Source organism: Homo sapiens, chromosome 1 (genome assembly GCF_000001405.40).
Source record: "Homo sapiens chromosome 1, GRCh38.p14 Primary Assembly".
NCBI classification, from domain to species: Eukaryota; Metazoa; Chordata; class Mammalia; order Primates; family Hominidae; genus Homo; species Homo sapiens.
Genome location: NC_000001.11, coordinates 48,672,938 through 48,694,130, shown reverse-complemented (window position 1 = coordinate 48,694,130; position 21,193 = coordinate 48,672,938). Strand labels below are relative to the sequence as shown.

The 21,193-nt window shown below is 47.4% G+C and overlaps 1 protein-coding gene across 8 annotated transcripts in view, besides 1 other annotated feature; it reads left to right on the top strand.

Moving 5' to 3' along the window:
* Positions 1 to 21,193, top strand: part of AGBL4 (AGBL carboxypeptidase 4) — a 1,501,444-nt gene that overhangs the window by 1,329,824 nt on the left and 150,427 nt on the right. The window contains exon 6 of one of the 8 annotated variants that reach the window (NR_136623.2): positions 4,228 to 4,351. The exons of the other annotated variants lie outside the window; for them this stretch is intronic. The gene's annotated coding sequence lies outside the window, so the exon portion shown is untranslated. The remainder of the gene's footprint in view (positions 1 to 4,227; positions 4,352 to 21,193) is intronic. 8 annotated transcript variants of the gene reach the window in all.
* Positions 6,523 to 7,023: an enhancer, noted in NCBI's record as "H3K4me1 hESC enhancer chr1:49152780-49153280 (GRCh37/hg19 assembly coordinates)". NCBI's record gives its function as "activates a minimal SCP1, AML or CMV promoter by ChIP-STARR-seq in naive H9 embryonic stem cells {active_cell/tissue: H9 hESC(naive)}" and the evidence as "EXISTENCE:reporter gene assay evidence [ECO:0000049][PMID:30033119]".

Below are 21,193 nucleotides of genomic sequence, written 5' to 3'. Positions count from 1 at the left end.
AAGAGTCCAGGAGAGCAGTGCCAGTGAGAGCTGCCACACCCCAAACCACAGGCTCTGCCGCTTTTTTTTTTTTTTTTTTTTTGAATAGGGAAAAAATCAGGTCAGGGGACAGAGCAGGTACAAAGGCGGAACGTAAGAAGGGCTTGTGGGTCCAGAGACTGGGGTTGGTTGAGTATAGCCCATGCAGGTCAGGGTAAGTCAGACTCAGAAGCCAGATCCAGATCCTCGCAATTCCGTGGCCCCCTGGAGCCCTGCCCAGTACCCGGCAGGAGGGCTCACTTCACCAGGCTGCCTCCCACTTTCCATCAGGGCAGAGCCTGCAGTCACGGAAGGCTGTCAGTGCCCTTCCAGGTTTCCTGCAGACTTAGAAAGGGGTTTTATGTTTTGGGGTCCACGGCTGTTCTGTGAAGTGACCGAGAAATGGATGTCACCAGGCTTGTTCTTGGATCCTTCCTTTTGGCCAGCGGTCTTGTGAAGAAGTTGAACAGTGTGGGTGCAGTGACCTGCCCAGCAGAGTGCCCATCTGGCAAGGCACAGGGATGAGTTCAGGAGAGCTTCCTGCTGATTCCAGGCTGCCTTGCACGAAAGCACGCCTTGACCTGTCTACATGCACACACGCCACCGTGAAATTTCCTTTTGTGGAGTCAGCCGACAGGTCAGCGCGGAGACCACCTGGCCAAACGGGCTCTGTGACAGGGAAAGCAGGTCAGCCATGGGTCAAGGACTCTGGGAGCAATTCTCTGTTCATCCACCACCGTGTTAAGCAACTGGGACAAGAAATGTAACCTCTGGTTTAGCCTGGCTTCCTCTCTGTCATGTTGATGGTGAGATCGGACTAAATATCTTTCCTGTGCAAATAGTCTTCAGATACACTCCCTTTCCCAGCCAATGCTCACTGGGCACTCAATCTACACCCAGCCCTGCCCAGGGTCCGGGGACTTGCTGAGGAGATTAAGCAAGGACAAACAGATAAGGATTAGTATCAGCGCTTTAAGAAAGCAACCAAGAGCTTTGAATATACAAAGAAATGAGTAGGTATCTCTGGTGGGCTACATCAACAGTGGGAGCTGCAAAGCCAGGTGACCTAGGATTGAATCCTGCATCTTTCTTTTACCAACTCAGTGACCATGGGCCAGTTAATAAGAGTTCTTACTCTTCCTGGATAGGGTTATTCAGAAGATTATATGAAGTAATCCAGGTAAGAAACTACAACAGTGCCTGGCAGAGAGTAAACACTCAATATGTATCAGCTGCTATTGGTGGTATTGCGGGCTTCTTACAGAGAGCATTATAATTCCCTCCTAATCCATTTCCCTGTGTAAGAAGAGGAGAGAGTGAGAGGATGGAGGGAGAGAGAAAGCCAAAGAGGTGGTCACTAGCCTACAACTGATACCTGCAATGTGTCAAGCTCTACAACAAACACAAGCTCTTTTGACTTCCTGGATCACCCCTGGATCACCTGTATAGACAAGCTGACTGAAGCTGAAGCCCTGACCTGCTGAATATCACAGTCCTCACATGGATAGAATCAGGATTTGGATCCAGCTCTGCCTTGATGGGAAGAGGGGTCCTAGTTGTGTTTGCAAACAGACTGTTTACTCCCCTTATGGTTCCGTTGGGGGTGGCCAGCCCACGCTCCTCTCCCAGACTTCTTTCCGCCTCCTGCATTGCTCTCTGTGTGGGTGACTCGACAGACAGGCGCGCACAGCCTTTCCAACTCCCCAGCATTACCTGCAGGTCCAAGTGGGAGGCTGGCATGGCAGACTTCCAAAGCTCCCCAGCGTGCCGCCCCCAGTACTGGTTCTGGAAGCTGTCAGTGCCTCTTTAGAGCTCGTAATTAACTGGACTCCTGGCTAGATTTTGCTTCATTCTTTTTGAAAATACCACTCTATGCCATTAGTTGCTTCTGTGCTGTCACATCAGGGACTTGGTAAAGGGTCTCTCACACCCTTCCCCCTGTATCTCTACTTCCTCTCTCCTTCCTCCCTCTTAGACTTTGAATGGGAGGGAGGTAACAACCTGATTAGAAAAATCTTTAGAAACTTGTTTTACAATAAAACTTCAGATTCTTCCTAGTAGAATTGCATGGAAGAGAAAAAAATGGTGTGGATTCTGATATGACAAGGGTTGGAATGAGTTTCCCAAAGGAAGAAAGACCCAAGTTGGGCAGAGTCGGGAGGATCAGGCCACAAGGAGGGTGAGAGAAGGTAGGTCCAGTAAAAGGCAAAGCAAAGGCACAGAGGTGGAAGGCACGGGCTTTTGTGGGGCTCAGATGAGAGATTCCTCTGGCCCTTGGCTTCTAGGCAGAGCTGGTATTCTGAGAGGAGCAGGGGAGAGGAGGGAGGCTGGGTTCCAGCACTAACAGCTATGTGAGGCTGGGCAGCTGTCTTCTGCTCTGGGTCTATTTTAGAGGGCTGGTGTGAAGATATAAATGCATGGTGAGTGTAAGGGTGCTTTTTACCCCATAGAGTTATGCAAATGATCATGGCAGTTGGAATGAACTGTGTAGAACAAGGGAGGAGATACTCAGAGGTCTCCAACCCCAATTTCTCACCCACATGACTCAACTCCAGACAGCCCAGTACCTCCCTGAGCGAACATTCTCATTCTTAACGCTCATGACATTACATCCATCTGTCGTGGTTTCTGCCTCCTTTCTGCCTTTCTGAATACTCTTCCTTCCTCCAGGACTCCTTTCTCCTGAAAGTCTTCCCTGATTACTCTAATCCTATGCTGTCCAATACACAGCCACTAGCCGTGTGTGCACTTAAAATGTGGTTCTTCCAATTGAGATGTGCTGTATGTGTGAAATATACAACTGAATTTCAGGCTTATAAAAAAATATAACTATCTCACTAATAAAAATTTTAATATAGATTATATATTAAAATATTTTAGATACATTTGGTAAAATTTTCTATATATGTAATATATATATATACACACATATATGTGTTTTTTTTTTTTTTTTTTGAGAGGGAGTCTCACTCTGTCGCCCAGGCTGGAATGCAGGGACGCCATCTCAGTTCACTGCAACCTCCAGGTTAAAGTGATTCTTCTGCCTCAGCCTCTGGAGTAGCTGAGATTACAGGCATGCACCACCACACCTGGCTAATTTTTGTATTTTTAGTAGAGACGGGGTTTCACCATATTGGCCAGGCTGGTCTTGAACTCATGACCTCAGGTGATCCACCCGTCTCGGCTTCCCAAAGTGCTGGGATTACAGGCGTGAGCCATGCCCGGCCTAAAATAAAATATATTAAAGTTAACTTCACTTGTTTCTTTTTACTTTTTTAAGAGGGCTATTAGAAAATGTGAGATGCCACACTTAGTACATTTTGTGACATGTGTATTTCTTCTGCTGGGTGGTCCAAGTCTGGCTTTAAGCCCTTTGCTTACTCTCCTACCTGACTAGGATAGATTTCCAACATTGATTATGTTCAAATGAGGCTTTTCTACTTACGTCCTATTTTGTATGGAAAAATAGGACGTAAGTAGAAAAGGTCCTTTTCCTGTTAATACATCTTATATGTGAAAACATCTTATATGTGACTTGCCACTAATGTCAGTGTGACCCTTAGTGGGACTCAGCCCCTCTCTAGCAATCTGTTTTCTCATCTGGAAAAGGAGGGGCTTGAACACTTGTTCTCCAGTGGTCCTTCTTTCTCTGACATCTGATGGCAGATTAGGATTAATGAATCCTAATCTTTCCCCTGGTTTAATGTAAAACCTTGGGAAAGTTGCCTCCTTATTTTTGCATCTATTACATGATAAAACTGAGAGTCTCTGCGCCCCCCACCCCATCCTCCAAATCAAAGGGTGTTCTGGGAATCAAAGGAACTGATGACTCAAACTTGGTCTTCCAGCTCAGTACACACTTGGTGCTCATGACCCTCCAGTCCAGTGAAACTAATGCAAGTCTTCAAGGCTGGGGCCTGGATGGGCCCTGACTTTCTCCATTTATTCAACTAGCATACAATCACTCATTTAGCAAACACTCTGAGAACCAGGCCTGGGCCATGTGATGGGCTCCATGGCGCAGGAACAGACTTGCTGCCCTCTTGACCTCGAGGTGCTGATGGTGTGGTGGGGAGACCCCCAAAAACCATAACGAGTTATAACAGTGCAGCCCATGCAACCACTCAGGAAGGAGGGTTGGCTCAGAGGCTTCCAGACCAGGTGTCACCTCTCCTCCACAACAGGAGTGATTTTGCTTTTTCTTTTCAGACAGGGTCTCTCACTCTGTCGCCCAGGCTGGAGTGCAGTGACACAATCTCGGCTTACTGCAACCTCTGCCTCCTGCGTTCAAGTGATTCTCCCACCTCAGCCTTTCAAGTAGCTGGGACTACAGGTACATGCCACCACACCTGGCTAAATTTTATTTTTTAAAATCTGACTAGCCTCTTCACCCCTCAAGTCACAGGCCATCTCATCCCAACACACACAGTACTTTCGGGATAATGAAAAAACTTTCTAACATGGTGTGATAAGTTCCCTTTAATGGGCAGATATACCCATTTCCCAGCTGCTGTGAGTGATGGCTACCCTCTTCATTGAAGATTACCCCAGCCCTAGTGCCTGGGCAATACTTGTTAAAATAAAGAAAGGAAGGAAACAAAGGAGGAAGGGAAGAAGGACAGAAGGAGGAAGGGAGGAAAGAAGGAAGGAAGGAGGGAGGGAGGGAGGGAGGGAAGGAAAGAAGAAAGGAAGGAAGGAAGGAAGGAAGGTAGGTAGGTAGGTAGGTAGGTAGGTAGGTGACCGTCATCCATAATGCAGCCTCCTCACTGTCTGGCTTGTGTTGCAGCTGTCTGGGCCCAGTCCTTTTCCTGTTAATACATGTTGCTGGGCTTTCTGAGTATAAGGACTCCATGACAGGGAGTGGATCTTGTTTCTTTTCTTTTCTTTTCTTTTTTTTTTTTTTTTTTTTGAGACCGGGTCTCGCTCTGTCACCCAGGCTGAGTTCAGTGGCACAACCTCCATCTCTTGGGTTTAAGCAGTTCTCCTGCCTCAGCCTCCTGAGTGGCTGGGATTGCAGGCACACGTGCACCACCACAGCCCAGCTAAGTTTTGTATTTTTAGTAGAGACGGGGTTTCACCACAATGGATCTTCTTTCTGAATGGGGATCCTGCCTAAATGTCCTAGATACTAGTGGGTTCTAGATGTCCACTGCCTGATAGATGCCAAGCTGGGCCTGAGGCTCAAAAGTAGAAACTTTCATCCTGATCCTGCTCCCTGCAACTGACACCCCCACTTCTTCCCACAGATGGCCACAGGCTCCCCTTCCCTCTTGTGTCTCCTTTTTAGAATTTCTAAATTCAAAAAAAAAAAAAGAGCTTTGCAATGCTCTTCCTGGATCTGTGGAGTTTCTCTGACCAAACCATTTTCCACCCACAAGACCTTGCTTGCTTTTGGTCCAAAGCTGGGAGGCCTTCCTTAATCTCAGGAATGCTCTTTGTGTCATCTTCTGTGAAGATGCTAGCAGTGGCTCAGCAATGTTCAGACCTTTCCTGCAGTGTAAGCAAAGGGAACGAGGCTTGTCTTCTAATACTGGGGGAGTCTGGGTCCCTAGAGGCCAAGGACTGCATAACATCATAGTATCATTTCTCAGCAACAAACACTCAGCAATGTCTTTGTTGAATAAATGGGTGCATGAAATGGAACAAGAGTTAAGCCTTAAAGACAGGCAAGACATCTTCAGGATTCTGAAGCAGTTGGATACATTCTGGATCCCAGGTGGTGCACCAAGGGTGGAGGCATGGAGATGAGGAAGCAGGAAGGAGGAGCGCCCTGGAAGCTTAGGGAGGGCTGAGAATAGAGAGAGCTCTAGGTCCCACCCACTAGGAGGACCAGCCCAGACTGAGTGGAGTGAGAGGTCCTCAACTCCATCATCTTTTCCAACATGTTTAGTTTCTCACGATCCACTGAGGGACCCTGTGAATGCAGTGGCATAAATGTCTCCTTCCTGCCTCCTTCCTTCTCTTCCTCCCTCCTTCTCTCCCTTCATCCCTCCCTTCCTTCTTCCTTGCTTCCTTCCACAAATATTTAATACCTACTGTTCTAGGTTTGGGGGATACAGCAGTAAATAAAATGACAGTTACATCTTTCTAAAGCCTATATTCTAGTGAAGGAAAAGAAAATAAATATATACACATCAGGGGGTAATGAGTGCTATGGAGAAAAGACAACAAAGGAAGTAGCTGGAGGAGGAGCAGCTGTTCTGTCAAGGGTGGCCAGGGACGGCTCTCTGCAAGCTGATGCTTGAGCAGAAACTTCAGGGAAGCCTGCCAGACCTGCGGATAGGTCTGCAGGAGCAGGACCTGAAGGCAGGAGTGCCAGCCGAGGGTGCTGGTCCAGGGCCTGCCACAGACCACCCTGTGTAATCACTGGAAACTCTGTGAGCACTGAGGCAGCAGATCACACGAATGCCCCTATTTCACAGGAGGACAGTGAGGCTCAGAGAGGTCAGGAAGTAGCCTCAAGGTCATACAGCTGCTGGTCAGCAGATCTGGGTTTCCAGCCTGGTCTGTGGAGTTTTTCCACAATAGCCTGGTCAGCCCCATCTGAGATCACCAGACCAGAACATTTCATTTGCATGGATGGCCTCTCCCCTCGCTCCCTGCCTCCACGATTTCTCTGAGAGGTGAAGGAAAGTGTGAGCACAGGGCCTCCCTGCGTCAGCCTGTGGGGGTGCCGCAGCACAGACTCATCACCTGCTAGCAAGAGCACCCGCCCACCCGCGGCCCACCGGGGCCTTTTCTCCACCGCCTCTCCTCTCCATTAAGCAGCCCTGCTCTGTCCCAAGCCTCACAGTCTCTGGATACCCATTTAACTTTTTAATTGATGCCAGTGGTTGGCAGCTCCCCTGGCCTTGCCTCCCAGCCCTTTCTCTTTGCCCCCTCCTCTTCTCTTTCCCTTGCTCTCTGTGTGCCTGCGGCGCTGTCTCTCACCTTCTCCACATTGGTCTGGTTCTCTTCTTGTGCTTCATCTGCCGCTGTTTGTCTGTCTCTGACTTCATGAGTGTCTCCCTGCCTGTCTGTCCTTTACCTGACTGCCCCGCTGCCCCACCCCCTGCCCCTCTGTGTTGGTCCCCCCTCCCTATGAGTTTCACTGTTCCTGCCTGCAAGTATTACCTGGTACTGACCAGACAGCTAAGCCTGGTGTGAGCCCTAACACATATACACACACCCAGGGGCCTGTCAATGCAGACAGGCAAAGGGCGACCCCCAATCCTTGTGGAAGTATCTCCAGAGTCACTCAGGATGGCCTTGGGGCAGAGTCTGGGCACTGACTAGGCCCTCAGAGGTTGCTGAGTTGAATCCTACACTGTGTGGCTAGATGAGGACACTGAGGCTTAGAGCGAGGACGTGACTTCACCAAGATCAAGCAACTGATCCATGGCAGATCTCAGGACTTCTAGAGGCCATGTCCACCAAACTGTGCATGGCCGAAAGTCCCCACCGTGTGTCACAGCTCCTTGGGGGCCCTGGCTGGGTAGAAAGAGCTAGACCTGCCTGTCCTTCTTGTATTCCTTAGTCCCTTTTTTCTCTTGTTTCTTCTTTTCTTCCTCCTGTCTTCCTTTCTGTTATCTTTCTACTCGTTCAACACATTCTCATTGAACACTTTCTATGTTCAAAGCATTGCGCTGTGTGCTGAACGATATAATGGGTAAGCCAGAGGTGGGAGTCCTAATCTTAGGCATTTATTCAGCACATTTTCCTTACCTGCTGCTATGTGCCAGGCACTGCTCTAAACAAACTTGAGCAAGACAAAGTGCAAAGAGCATCCATCTAGAGAGGGAGGTAAAGAGTTCATTAACAATTTGATGTGAACTTGCTTCAGCAGAGGAAGTAAGCCATGCGTGGACTGTGGGGATTCAGAGGCAGGGCACCTAACCAAGGTGAGGGCAAGGAGACTGTGGGTAAGTCTTCCTGGAGGCGGTAATAACTAAGCTAAGATATGAAGGACCAGTAGATCCTGGCTGTGTTATTAACAAGCTGAGTGACTTCCCCTTTCTGATGCTCAGTTTTGTCATCTGTAAAATGGGGATGACAATGGCTATCTCATAGGGATTTGGAGGGGATTCAATGAAACAGTTACATAAAAGTCAATTGACCATACTGAGCCTCAGTTTTCTCATCTCTAAAATGGGGGCAACAACAAGCCTAACTCAGAGGGCTTTTGTGAAAGGCAAATGATGCATGACAGAGCTTAGTAGATTCTAAGATGCTGCTCCACAACAATTTTAGTTGTGACTATTGCCATCATGATCCAGAGCTTAAGGCTGGTGATCAAGAGATACTGGCTCTGACTTCATGGGAGGTAGATTTTATTTAATTATTTTGGTAATTCAGTTTTCATTTTCCTGCTTGCACCCCTACTTCCTAGGTGAAGAAAGGAGACACCATTTACTAAGAGTTTCCCATATGCCAGGCCGTGGGCTAGTTCTTCATATGCCATCTCCTTGTAATGCTCATAAGAGTCCTTCAAGGTAGCATTTCTATGTCTTTTTTCAAAGATGCAGCAATAGACTCTAATTTTTCAAAGGCTGCACAGCTAGGAGTAAGTACTGTCAGTTTTCCACTCCTGGTGATATGGAGGGGTGGAAGATTAACCCGCCTGCCCACATGGAGCCCAAGGCATCTTGTTCTGACAAGGCTTCCTGAGATGATGGCTATGGGGGGGTCATGACTCCTGGAATGGCACAGGCAGAAGGCTGAAGAGAAGTCTTCTCGTCTAATTCCTAAGAAGGGACAAGTGAGACCTAAAGAATGAATTATACTGACACAATGAGATAGTAAAACATCTCTGTAAGATGTTTAAGGCTCCATGGCTTACAATAAAAATGTATTAGCCCCATGGACATTATTTTTTAATTTAAAAAGTTAGTTTCCAATACTTAGAAATTAGAGATTTTATATAGAAGTCAAGGTCTCATTTGACTGATTCAAATTTGAAAAATTCTATGAAAGGATCGTGGAACTTGGGGCCTCATTCCTACCAGACAGTTCCTGGCAGTTGCTGAGGAGGGCTGGCCCCTCCAGACAGGCCGTGTGCACCATGCACCATGTCTCTGCCTCAGCCTATATCTCCAGAGTGTCTGCTCCAGTCCTTTACTCACCTGCCCTGCCTCAGGAGTCATTTGCCTTCAGAGCTCCTCCTGCACAGTGTTTTCTCAGGCCTGAGAAGTGAAGGCAGGAATTGAACTGGGCCCTCTGATTACCTGTTTCTTTCCACCACAGCAAGGTGCTTTATACAGAACATTTTGTAGGAAGTCTAGATTGATTCTGCCCTAGTTAGATTTCCTATAGTCTAGCACCAAAGTAGTTTTCCTTGGATTCTCTCTTTTCCTTATTTTTAATGGATAAGGATCTCAAAGTTTGTTTTCTGATTGGCATTCTATAAAGAAAAAAAAAAGTTTTTATTTTTGGATTAACCCTGGTGTCTGATGCCTTTTAGGCCACCCTCTTTAAACTGTTAGATGCATGTTGCCTTTTCACAATGTTAGGCATAAGTGGCACTTGAATTAAGGTACCTGCTGACTCCTTCTTCCGGGCTTCCAAGTGGACGGCCAAATAAGCAGGGTTCTTCCCTGAACTCTAATTGATCCTCATACTACCAGTCACATTCCAAACCACAATTGAGGCAAAGCTTAGTTGAATAGCCCAGTCAAAGGTTAGCCCTGGTGTCAGCTGAGTCTGGGGTCAGAACTCAGCCTATGACTACGTTAGTGCTCTGGCGGGGGCTGAAGACAGAGAATGTTTGGATTCTCTCTGCTTCTGCTTTGCTTTCCCCTTCTCTCCCTTCTTCTTTGGACTATTCACTAACATAGACCTCTTTGGCAAGCTTTCTCTTCACCACTGTCCAGGGCTTCACAGACTTGGCTTAAGAGAAGGAGCCAATCCGTTTGACTTCAGTGAAGACTGAGAGCACTTTGTGATGCTCAGCACAGAATAGACACACCCATGAGTCTTTAACTGTAGTCATAGTGATAGCCCTTGGGCATGGAAAGGAAAATCCCTCATCTCTTCCCAATTCCTTCTGGGATGTGAAGCCTGGGTCTCTGGGACTGTATACGCAGTGGCCTAGGCAGCCAGATTCTGAATGCCTGCAGAGCCAGAGAAATAATGTTTCTCTGGGCACATTTTCCAGGACATTTTTAGAATGCCATATGACTGCCAAGGAGTGCTTTCTTATTAGATTTTCAAAATGTTGCCTCAAAACTGGAAGGATGACTTAGGCCGTCTTCCTCATTCATTCTCCAGTCTAGCAAAGTGGAAAGTAATTACATTCAGTGTGGTTTTGACAAGTCAGCTGTTGACTGGTAGGTAATTACAGAGCTAATGCTCCATGGCTCATCAATAAGCTCTGACCTCACCTTCTGATCAGTGGTTCAAGTCCTGACAACTTAATGTTTTTGCTTGTTAATGGAGCCAGACGACCTAGAATTAGGAAGTCCCTTGAGGACAGCAAATCCACCCCTCTACTCAGACCCTCTTTGAGGCCCAGCCTTACACACAACCTCCCATGAATACAAGTTGCTGGAAAGAGATTTTTTTTGAACACGCTTTTTGTGGTGGTTTTGCCTCATCCCAAATACTCTCCCTCATCCTGATTCTGAGTCATGATGGATGGCGGGTAGAAGCTAGAGGTCAACTGTGATTTAGAATGAGACTCTGTGTGGACTGCACATGTGGAGTGGCAGAAGGCTGGGCTCTGTCAGTCCAGTTGAAAGCTGAGGAAGGCCAATGCCAAGGTCTTCTATGTTAGGATTTTAGAAGCCCCCGATGTGAGTATCAGAATGGGATTCTGAATGGAAAGAAGTAGAGTTTCTCTCCGGAGCTGGAGTGGTTCCTCAGACATTGCCTTAGCATGATGCTGTTGGGGGCAGGAGGGAAAACTTCTTGAGTTGGACAAGTCCGCAGAACCACCTGGGACTTGGTGGACATTTGAATGCAAAGTATTAGCATCTTCCATCACAGCTGTCATCATCCCTGTTTTGTAGGCAGGAAACTGAAGTTGAGTGAGGTGTCTAAAATTTCACAGAAATGGCAGAGCTATGACTTGGACCCAAAGCCTGTGTCTAAACCCACTGTTCTTTTTAGTGTTCTATACTTCTCAATTTTAAAGCATCTCTTGGGGAAGGTGACATCCTGCTTTTCCTGGATGCCATGGTTTCTCTCATCCATAAAGTACTTTATATTTTCTCAAACCTTGTCCCTTATGTTATCTCACTGGGTTTCCCACCAGCTCCATTAAATGAGGCAGACAAGGGTTGTGATCCTCATATCCTATGTGATAAAACTGAGGTTTTCAGAGTGCTTACAGGGCTGGCCAAACTTGACACGATTAAACAGGGAAGGGAGATTACATGTATCATGCATTTATTGTATACCAGGCCATACCTATAGTATTATCTCCTCTGAGATTTCCCTATGTTGGCTGAGCGCTGTGGCTCATACCTGTAGTCCCAGCATTTTGGGAGGCCAAGACAGGCAGATTGCTTGAGCCCAGGAGTTTGAGACCAGCCTGGGAAACATAGCAAGGCCCCTCCCTACAAGGAATTTTAAAAATTAGCCAGGTGTATTCCCAGCTACTCAGGAGGTTGAAGCAGGAGGACTGCTTGAGCTCAGGAGGTTGAGGCTGCAGTGAGCCATGATCATGCCTCTGCACTCTAGCCTGGGTGACAGAGTGAGACCCTGTCTCAAAAAAAAAAAAAAAAGAGATGTGCTGTTAACCTGTAAGCAATATTGTTTTCCTCTTTTACCGATGAGAAAACTGAGGGAGTCTTTTCCCAAAATCCAAGCCAGAGAGCCAGGGAAAAGAGTCCAGCATGAAAGCCTAAGTCCCTGGCCCTCTGTATGACTTTGGTCTGCATAACAAATACACACACTGCATGGCTTCAACAACAGGAATTTCTTTTCTCACAGTTCTGAAGACCAGAAATCTGAGATGAAGGTATTGGCAGGGCTGTTTCTTCTGGGCCTCAGCCCTTGGCTTGTAATGGCCATCTTTCCCCTGTCCTCACATGGCCACTCCTCTGTGCTCACACAAGTCTGTGTCCTAATCTCCTTTTCTTACAAGGACACCAGTCATACTGGATTAGGACCCAGCCTCATGACCTCATTTTAACTTAATTATGACCTCATTTTACCTTGCTACCTCTTTAAAAGCCCTGTCTCCTCATACAGCCACATTCTGAGATAATGGAGGTTAGGACTTCCACATATGAATTTGGAGAGGACACAGTTCAGCCTATCACACACTGTCTCTGGCCTGTTGTCTCCTCACTCAGGTCTCTTGACTGCCAGGCCCTCCCCCACTCCCCAGTTAATCCTATCTCTTGGCAGACTTGAGCCAAGAGTGAGGTAACGCATCCCTCAAGGCCTTACTCTGAGCTGAGAGCCCCTGTCCCTGGACCGGGTCTACTGTTTTGGGATTGTTAAGAGACCTGGCAGGAGCCAGGAGTGGGGAGAAGAAACCTAGAAGATTAGTCATCAGCCTGGGCTGATTCCATCAAGGACTTGGGAGGTTAACTCGACCCTGGCTTTTCCTGGCAGAGCTTCCCAAAGAAACCGTCATGATATCCTGCTGCCACTGAGGGCTCTGGAGTCCTGTGGTACTGGTTCCACAGAAAGGGCACAGCTCCCAACCCCCTCACCCCAGTAATCCTCCCTGATGGGCAGGAGCATTTGAGGCTGATGCTCAGTATCTCTGGGCCAAAAATTTGAAAGCAGAAAGAGAAATTTAAGGCATCTTTGGGGGCCTGATGTGGAAGACAGTGGCCTCTTCACACCTACAAGGGCAGGATTCACATGCACTGCACATCTCCTAAGTGCCAGGTGCTGTCTGCACCCCGACTTACTCATTTTATTTCTTCCTCAAATACAATATATCCTTGAGAGGCAGCGGTCCCTATCCCTATTTTACAGATATAGAAATGAAAGTTTGGAGAAGGGAAAATTTGCCCAAGGCCAGATAGTATACCAGAGGATCCAATAAGGAAAGTATTGGTGTTCTAGCCAGTAATTTCCACAGGTTTATCAACACAGGAAGCATCCAGGGCACTAGTTTTAAAAGTGTAGATTCCCATGCCCTGTGTCAGAGATTCTAATTCAGTGGGTCTGGAGTGGGGCCCAGCAACCTGTACCTGTAATTTTAATGAGTACACCAGGTGACTCTCACTCATGCAAGTTTGGGGATTAACGGGTTGAAGAGCATTGCCCCATTCTCTATTACCTGCAAGCAGGAGCAGTGGCCAACTCCTGGAAACAGCTCTGCCCCAGGTTGCACTCTCGCCCTTTGTTCAAGGTCAGTTTCCTTTCCTAGCTGGTAACTTAATTTGATTGCCCCTTTATTGCCTGAATGAGATCCTTGTCACTCACCACAGTCTCCGAACATATATTGATATTTCAGAGCCTTGGGTGCCAAATCCCCAGAGCCGCCTTGCCAAAACTCTGAGTTAAATATCAGCACTTAGTCACGGAGGGAATTCTTCTTCGGCCTTGCCACAAGGTGGCCGTCACCTTTTCAGCATGTGCCACTGAAATTCGTTGTGGTTTTTCTAACTTCCTGGGGCTAAGCTGCTATCCTCTGGGACAGGGTCGGGGAGTGATTGTGTTGAGAGCTGTTTTGTTGTGTGTTCTTTTGTACAAGGTCAGCTTCTAGCAATCATTTTTTTTCTGATCGCCTGGGATTGCTCTCATCTATGAACCTGTACCACAAGAAGCACAATACATCCCAGGAAAGGAAAACAAATAAGCAAACAAAAAGCTCTATCTTGAGCTCTACTCAGTTTGCAAGGTAACGGACACGATCTTACTGATCCCCTTGCAGCCTTCAGAATTGTGCTGCACATTAATTAGAAATCCAGAGCCCTGGAACAAGGGAAACGACTTTGTGCTTCAATTTAATTTGTTCTCATTTTTTGACAGGGTTAAAGTTCATCTTCCCAGTCTGAATCTGAAAGCAAATTATAGCTGCGTCATTTTTATATTGATGTGCCCAGACTAAAGACCTTTGGAAAACATTTCTTCTGGGAATTGATCTGGCTGACAGTGTTTTCTCTCAATTCCATTTAGCAAACACTGACTGCAGCCTTACAATGTGCCAAGAAGTGTGGTGGTTGCCAGGAGTGAACATAAAGGGAGAGGATGCAGTCTCTCCCCAGGGGAGGTGGCCATGGCACAGGAGAGGTATAGCACACAGAGGACAGCAGTTACTAAGCACCGTGAGCTGGGACACACGGCGGCCTCTGGCCGCAGAGATCAGGGTGGGCTTATTGGAAAAGCGACTAACAAATTGGGCTTTAGAAGGTGATAAAAGCAACATAGTAGCTACCATTGCTGACTGCATGACCTGTGCCAGTGCCGTGCTAATGTAGATGTGCCACTTAATGTCACAACCACCTCTGGAATAAGGAGCAGAAGAACTCAGTGCTTGGAGATCAAATCCTGGCTTATCCACTGGCTAGCCATGTGACCTGGAGCAAGTGAGTCTGATTATCAGTCTCTTGCTCTGTGAAATGAGGGTGACAAGAATGACCCCACAGGGTGGTTGTGAGAATTAAAAGAAATCACCCACACTGATGAGTGCAGAGGTGGGCTGGGAGGGAGAGGTGGAGAGGATAGATAAGGCAGGTTCCCACGGCTGTGGTCACCCATTGAGATCACCCCCACTGTGGCCCTGGTTGTACTGAGCAGGCTTCATCGTCCTAGGCCTGTCAGGCAGCCTTCTCTCTGACACCCCAGTAACAGCTCAAATAATATTAGCCATGATTATTGCTGCACAGCCAGTGGTGTCAGAGCTGGAATTTGAACCCAGGCCTGTCTGACTCAGAGACCCTTGATCTTAACCTCAATCTATTGCCAAGACAACTCAAAGTAGTTGCAAAAGCCAGTGTCTATGCACAGGCCTTCTGATTCTCTTACATTCTTTCCACAATCTGTACAAATGTTACCCTAAAATCAGAAGCCCTCCTCTAAGAACCCTGTGCCCACCCTTCAGGCTGAGCCAGGGGGTTCCCTCTGGGCTCCCCAGTACCCCGTGCTTCCCTCAATCAACTCAGTGAGCACTCAGAATTCCACTGTCAACTTGCATATCCATCTCCCACACTAGACCATGTGGTCCTAAGAGCAGGGGTTGAGAGCAGAGTTTGAACCAAAGTTGGGAAATCACCCCATGTTCAAATTTTCTCAAACAGAAAGTTTCCCTTTAACAGTAGCAGGTAGGAAATGTGTGTTAATAAACCATGGTGCTGGCAGCTTTAAAATATTAATGATTTCTAGAATTGAAAATGCAAATTGCTGTCTGGAACTCCTCCACTTGGCATTAAAGAGAAGGGCTTTGAAAGGACACCATGGGGAACTCAGGAACTGGAGAATGGCCTTGCTAGAAGATGGGAAGACAAATAGACATTTACCACCTTTGTTATTGCCACATTTGCACCATTAAAACGCAAGAGCTAGTCACTGGGTGCTATTTGAAGGCATGGCTTTAAAGTGAGCAGGCTGGGCTTCTCCATCCACTTCAACATTCACATATGGGGTACCTACTATGTGCCAAAAGAGGGCATGTGTGGAGGGAGACAGCTAAGATCCCAATCTGGCCCGGGTCAGCTCAGTCCACTGTGGGCTGTGGTCAGGGCTCTGACCTTGAGCAAAGAGAGGGCATGGGTTCCGGGGAAATTCTCAAGATGTGTGTGAGTGGAAGGGACTGGGATTTTTCTGACAGGTGTTGTTCTCCCCCTCAGTCCCTTAAGTAAAGAGAGGGGTGCTGTGGAGCCAGTTTGGTCCTAAGCATGATCCCTGGCCCTTCTCTCAAATCAAGAGCTGAGGGGAAGCTGAGTGACATCCACAAGGCAACTGGAGAGAGCAAAGGTGGGGCAGAAGGGCGGGGGCGGCGGGATGGGTGAGGGCAGGTCCCCTGGCTGTGGCCAGCAGCTGTGCAGTTACCCCACCGTGGTGCTGGCTGTGCTGAGAAGGCCTGACCATCCTAGCGCTGTCAGGCTGCCCTGTCCCTGACAGACAGGCTGGGCTTGTCACTGCCCCATCAGAGCTCCCGAGGTACTTCGGCAGCACAGCCAACTGACACCTGCTTCCTTTCGATGACGTGTTCGTAGTGTCAGGCAGTCAGAAACTGTGTCCTGGGAGGGCCCCCGTCTCCTAGTAGCCTACCAGTTCCCATTCTGCATCCCTCTGTGTTTGTGGACCAGCTCTCTAACAATGAGCTTTGCCCCTTCTTTCCAGAAATCCGGAGGTATCTCCCCATCACCCTAGTGTCCCCAAAAAGTTGGGAGGCCTCTCCTGAGGCTTGACAGGACCCTGACTGTGGTCCCTGTGTGTCTGGCTTGCACTGTTCTAGGGGCTTTTCTGCTTCCTTCTGGCTCTTTGCTGTGATCTGGGTGTGTGACGTTACAAGGACAGGAAGCTCTGGATAAGTGAGGCATCAAGCTGTCAGGGAAGAGCGCAGGGTTTTGGAGTTAGACTGACGTCGCAGCTGCTCATCATGTGGACTGGGGCCAGTGGCACAGCTCTTTAACCTGCCTGCAGGACAGAGATCAGAGTGCCAGCCGTTCTGCAAGGCTGGCAGGATCCAATGAGCTTATATAAGTAATGCGCCCCCTGGCGCCTGGCACAGAGCAGGTGCTCAACCACCGAGATTTCCCTTCCTTTCCCTTCTCCTACCCTCCTAGGAGCCTGGATCTGTACCCTGACATGCATGTATTTGGACCCCTTCTTTGCTGTGGTGGCGAATATGTTAATCCTCTTCCTTCATCCTTTGAAAAATGTCTTTCTCCTTCTCCTCATGCATGCAGCTTACGTTTTCTTACAAATCCAATCTACTTGCAGGAAGCTTTGTGAGTTCCCTGAGACACTGCACGTCTATTATATTGGTACTTCTTGTCCTGTTCCAAGGAAAAGACTGTGTCTGAGAAAAATTATTTGCTTGATGTAGGCATGTTCTCTTGTCTACTCACCCCACACCCTTGCCTGTTGTTCTGACCAAAGTGGTGTTATCAGAGCCAGCCCCAGCCACTTACTGGGGCTTCTGATCCTCTTGAGCTTAAGTGTTTTAGAACTGGAGGGGACTGAGAGACCACCTAGCTCCGCCCCTTCTTATGACAGATGGTGAAACCGAGACCCAGGGAGCAGAGAGCCTGGGCCAAGCTCACACTAGACCACTGGTCCTCTTCTCCTTGTGGCTGCACAATTTGCAGCCACAATGCAAATTAGAAGAACAGTTTGCTGGAGTTCTTCCCCAGAACACTGAACTAGAATCTTGGTGGGGGCAGTCAGTGGGGTGTTCTGGGCATCAGTATTTTTACAAAGCTGCTGCATGGTTCTAATAAGCAGCCAGGGTTAAGAAACAGAAAATAAACCGTGTTTCTTGCCAGTGTATTAGCCTCACATACCTAGGGGAAAGCGTGAAGGAACTGTCCACAGGAGCCTGTTTCTGCAGGATGGTTCACCAGGGAGGGCCCAAGATGAGCATTCCCCTCTGCAGACGCAGAGCACCTGACTGGGTGTTCTTAATCAGGTATTTCTATTAGTCAGTAAACATTTATATCAGATTTCCTATGTGGCAGGCACTATTCTACGTGCTTTACAAATACAACCTCATTTCCTCCTGAGGGCGTTCCTGTGAGACAGTCTGCTATGATCCACATTCTATGGACAAGAAGAGTGAAGCACAGAGAAGTGAAGTAACTTGCCTGGGCTCACACACTCAGAGAGCAGCGCAGTCACTGCGCTTGTGCCTGAGTCCCTGTTTGTTACCATTATGCTCATTCACCTCTGGGTTCTCAGGTCACACTTGCAGCACCTGCCAGCACCTTCAGACCTTCAGACCCCCCACTCAAGCCTTTCTAAATGAATGGCTCTGCCAGAAGGTGGAAGGTAGGACTGAAGGTTTCTGAAATCAGTAATACTGAAAGCTACCTTTGTGGAGCACTGTGATTTATACATCTCTCCTTACCTAGTTTCTGATGAAACCATGGCGGAGCCACTTACCTAGGCCATACAGCTTCAAACCCAGGTCTGTCCAGCTCTACTTCCATGTACCCCAGGTATAACCTGAGGTAGAATTTGTAGAAAGAATCCAGGTTTATCCTAGGAGTTTTTTCGAGGAGCACATAATGGCATTCTATAAAAACACCCTCTGGAAACATATCCTGTGAATTAAATTTTTATAATTTATTTTATTCAAGAAAGATTCCATTCGCTGGTGATGGCATGGCCTAGAATTTAGGGCACAGGGTGGAGAAGTTATATAAGAACTGCTCAAATGTTTCTGATCTAACATGTAAAAATCCAGTTCACTGTGAGACCTTGGTCAAATCACTTTTTGTCTTAGAGTCTTGGTTGTAAATGGTGACATTAATTAGACCATACTCAGCTCTAATGGTCACTGTTCTGTGACTGCTGTGTGATATCAGACAGCATCCTTAACTCCTCTGATTTTTATGGTGGTAGAATCCTCCTCACTGGAACAAAAAGTAATTGCTACAGGAGAGTTGGTGTTAAGTGTAGCTGATTGCTTGTTAATCCACTTACAATGATGGATGTTTTAAAATCCATTATTGAGGACTATTGCATGCCAGGTGGCTTCCCATGCAGATTTCATATCTTTTTGACATTGTCCTTTTGTTTCAGCCACGTTGATGAGGCTGCTCTGACTCACCTATTTTGATATGCGGACATTTTGACACAGCTGAGAAAATAAACCATCACACCTTCAACTTCTTAAAAAAACATTAGCAAATAATGTGGCATGGAGACATTTCAGGCTAGTTCTTCTCATCCCAGAATTTCCCCCATCCTTGAGCTCCGCTTCTGTCAAGGGGGTCTAGGGAGGGGAGAGAGGGAAGAGATTGGGCTCAGGGTGGGCTCTGGGTCAAGGCTGGGGATGAGGATGGCAGGAACAGTAAGGAATTGGTGGGAGTGAAGGACACTGAAGATCCAACATGCGATGGGTGTGGCGGGGGGGTCTGTTTCACACAGTACCTAGTAATTTTCCAAACCAATTTTACATTTAGATGCAGCCATTTCAAAACCGTTACATCAAAACAACCATGTCAAAATGCCCTTCTCTGTCTGAGACAAAGAAAATGAGTGCCAGGAAGATATGAATAAGACAGGGCTTCTGCCCCCAAAAAGCTCAGAGTCACCAGAGGGGAAAAGCGGGACAGAAAGAGAAGCAAATTACTATTATACTGCTGGGCAATTGCTATAATAGCAGAAGGGGCTGGGAGGGAACAGAGCAGAGAGTGACTCACTGCCTGGGGGTGAAGCAGGCTTCCTGGGGGAGGGAGTGACTGGGAGCTCAAGAAACACATGTAGAATGACTAATAATAGCCACAGTTAATTGAGGACTTACCATGTGACAAGCACCGTTATTAGTACTTTATTTTAATTCATCTAGTCCTCACAGCCACCCAATAAGATGAATATTATTATTCCCATTTTACAGATGAGGAGACTGAGACACTCACAGGTTGAGTGACTTTCCCAAGACAACACAGCTAGTAAGTCGCAGAGCTAGAATTCTAAATCAGGCACAGCCATACCTAAGGTCATGCTCACCCACCCATCCCCCCCCTCCCCGCCCCAACGCGCCCAACACCCCCAGCCCACCTACAGCATTCTGTGGCCTCTCTGTGAGTGAACGACGGCTTGGGGTGAGGGAGAAGGAACACCAGCTTTAACGTTAACCAGACCTGGGTCTACTCTGCTCTCATCACTTGCCAGCTATATGACCTTGGACAATTTGCTGATCCCAGCCACCTCTTGAGTCTTATTCCTCTGGTCCTCATTCTCCCCAGCAGACATCACTCAATAACCGATAGCTGTATTTTATTGACATGGTAGATATGCGGCCAGCGTGAATGTATGGCAGGGATTCACAGCCATTAACAAGACAAAGTTCCCTTTGCCATGGAGCTAATGCCCCCAAGGAGCCAGCTCCGAGGACCCAGGAGCGTCCTCTGGACAGAGGTGTGAGGAAACTAGAAAGGTGTGAGGAGGTGTGATGAGTAGGTGAAACAACAGTAAGAGGCGAGCGTGGGAGGTGGGCAGGGGACAAGCGGGCTAGGGAGTACCGCCTGGGTTAACTTCGAGTGTATGGGGAAGCCGCTGCAGGACTGGGAGTACGGGAGTGAGATCCATCCGCCAGAAAATGGGCTACAGGGGAGGAAGGAAGCAGCAGGAGGCTTCTGTGGTTGTTCAGACAACATGCAATGGGGGCGGTGTTGAGCTTGGGCAGTGGCAACAGAAGTAATCTCCCTGTTGAGTACCTGAATGCTTCATAAACTGTATAGTCCTGGGCATATGGGAGTTGGTTCAGAATCATTACTCTTATTTCTCCCTCATGACTGACCCTTCCTTGCCTTCCTTGGCTGTCGCCATTCCATAGTCTGTTTAACAAACTCGTGGGCAAGGCATGGGTTGGTTTGTTTTCTCAGCCCAGAACAATTGGTTTGTTTTCTCAGCCCAGAACAATTCAGCTTCTCTGGCTCCTCTGAAGATGTCATGTTGAGAGAGAGAAAAAAATTACACTCTTTAATAGAAATACTTTTCCTTCATTAAGTGAAATCTCCAAAGCCCAGTAGCATTTTCGGTGCTTATATAAAAATGCCAGTGGGGATTTGAGATTGAAAGTGGTATTTTTATACAACTCAATGAAGATCTCAATAGGAAAGAAAGAACACTCTTCAAATCTGAGTTCCTCCAGCATTGGGCAAGACAGATCTTCCACTCAGGGTCAGGATCACATTACTCCCAGGCCTACAAGGAAACTTTTCCTGAAGCTCTTGGAGTGCTCATATATATCAGTTCTCTGCTTGGGGAAATTGTATTAATAATGTCCTTCCAAGGCTACAAACCATTTAACTTGAATTTCTGTTTGCACCTCAACTCTAATAACTTTGTACAAAACCTCAGGTATTTGTAGGAGTTTCAGTCAGACGCAGATGTGTGCAGGTGCCTGCACATAAGTACAAACAGAATAACATCTCTTTAGTATAGCTGGGGAATCAAATTTCCCCTTGGGAATGTCAAAAGAAAGACTAGTCTCCTGAGATAGAGAAGGTTCAAATTCCAGCTCAGAGTCTTACTAGCCTGGCAGCCCCGGGCAACGTACTGAGCCCTCACAATACAAATTTCAAAGGGCCTGGCAAGACTTGGATCCTGATGTATG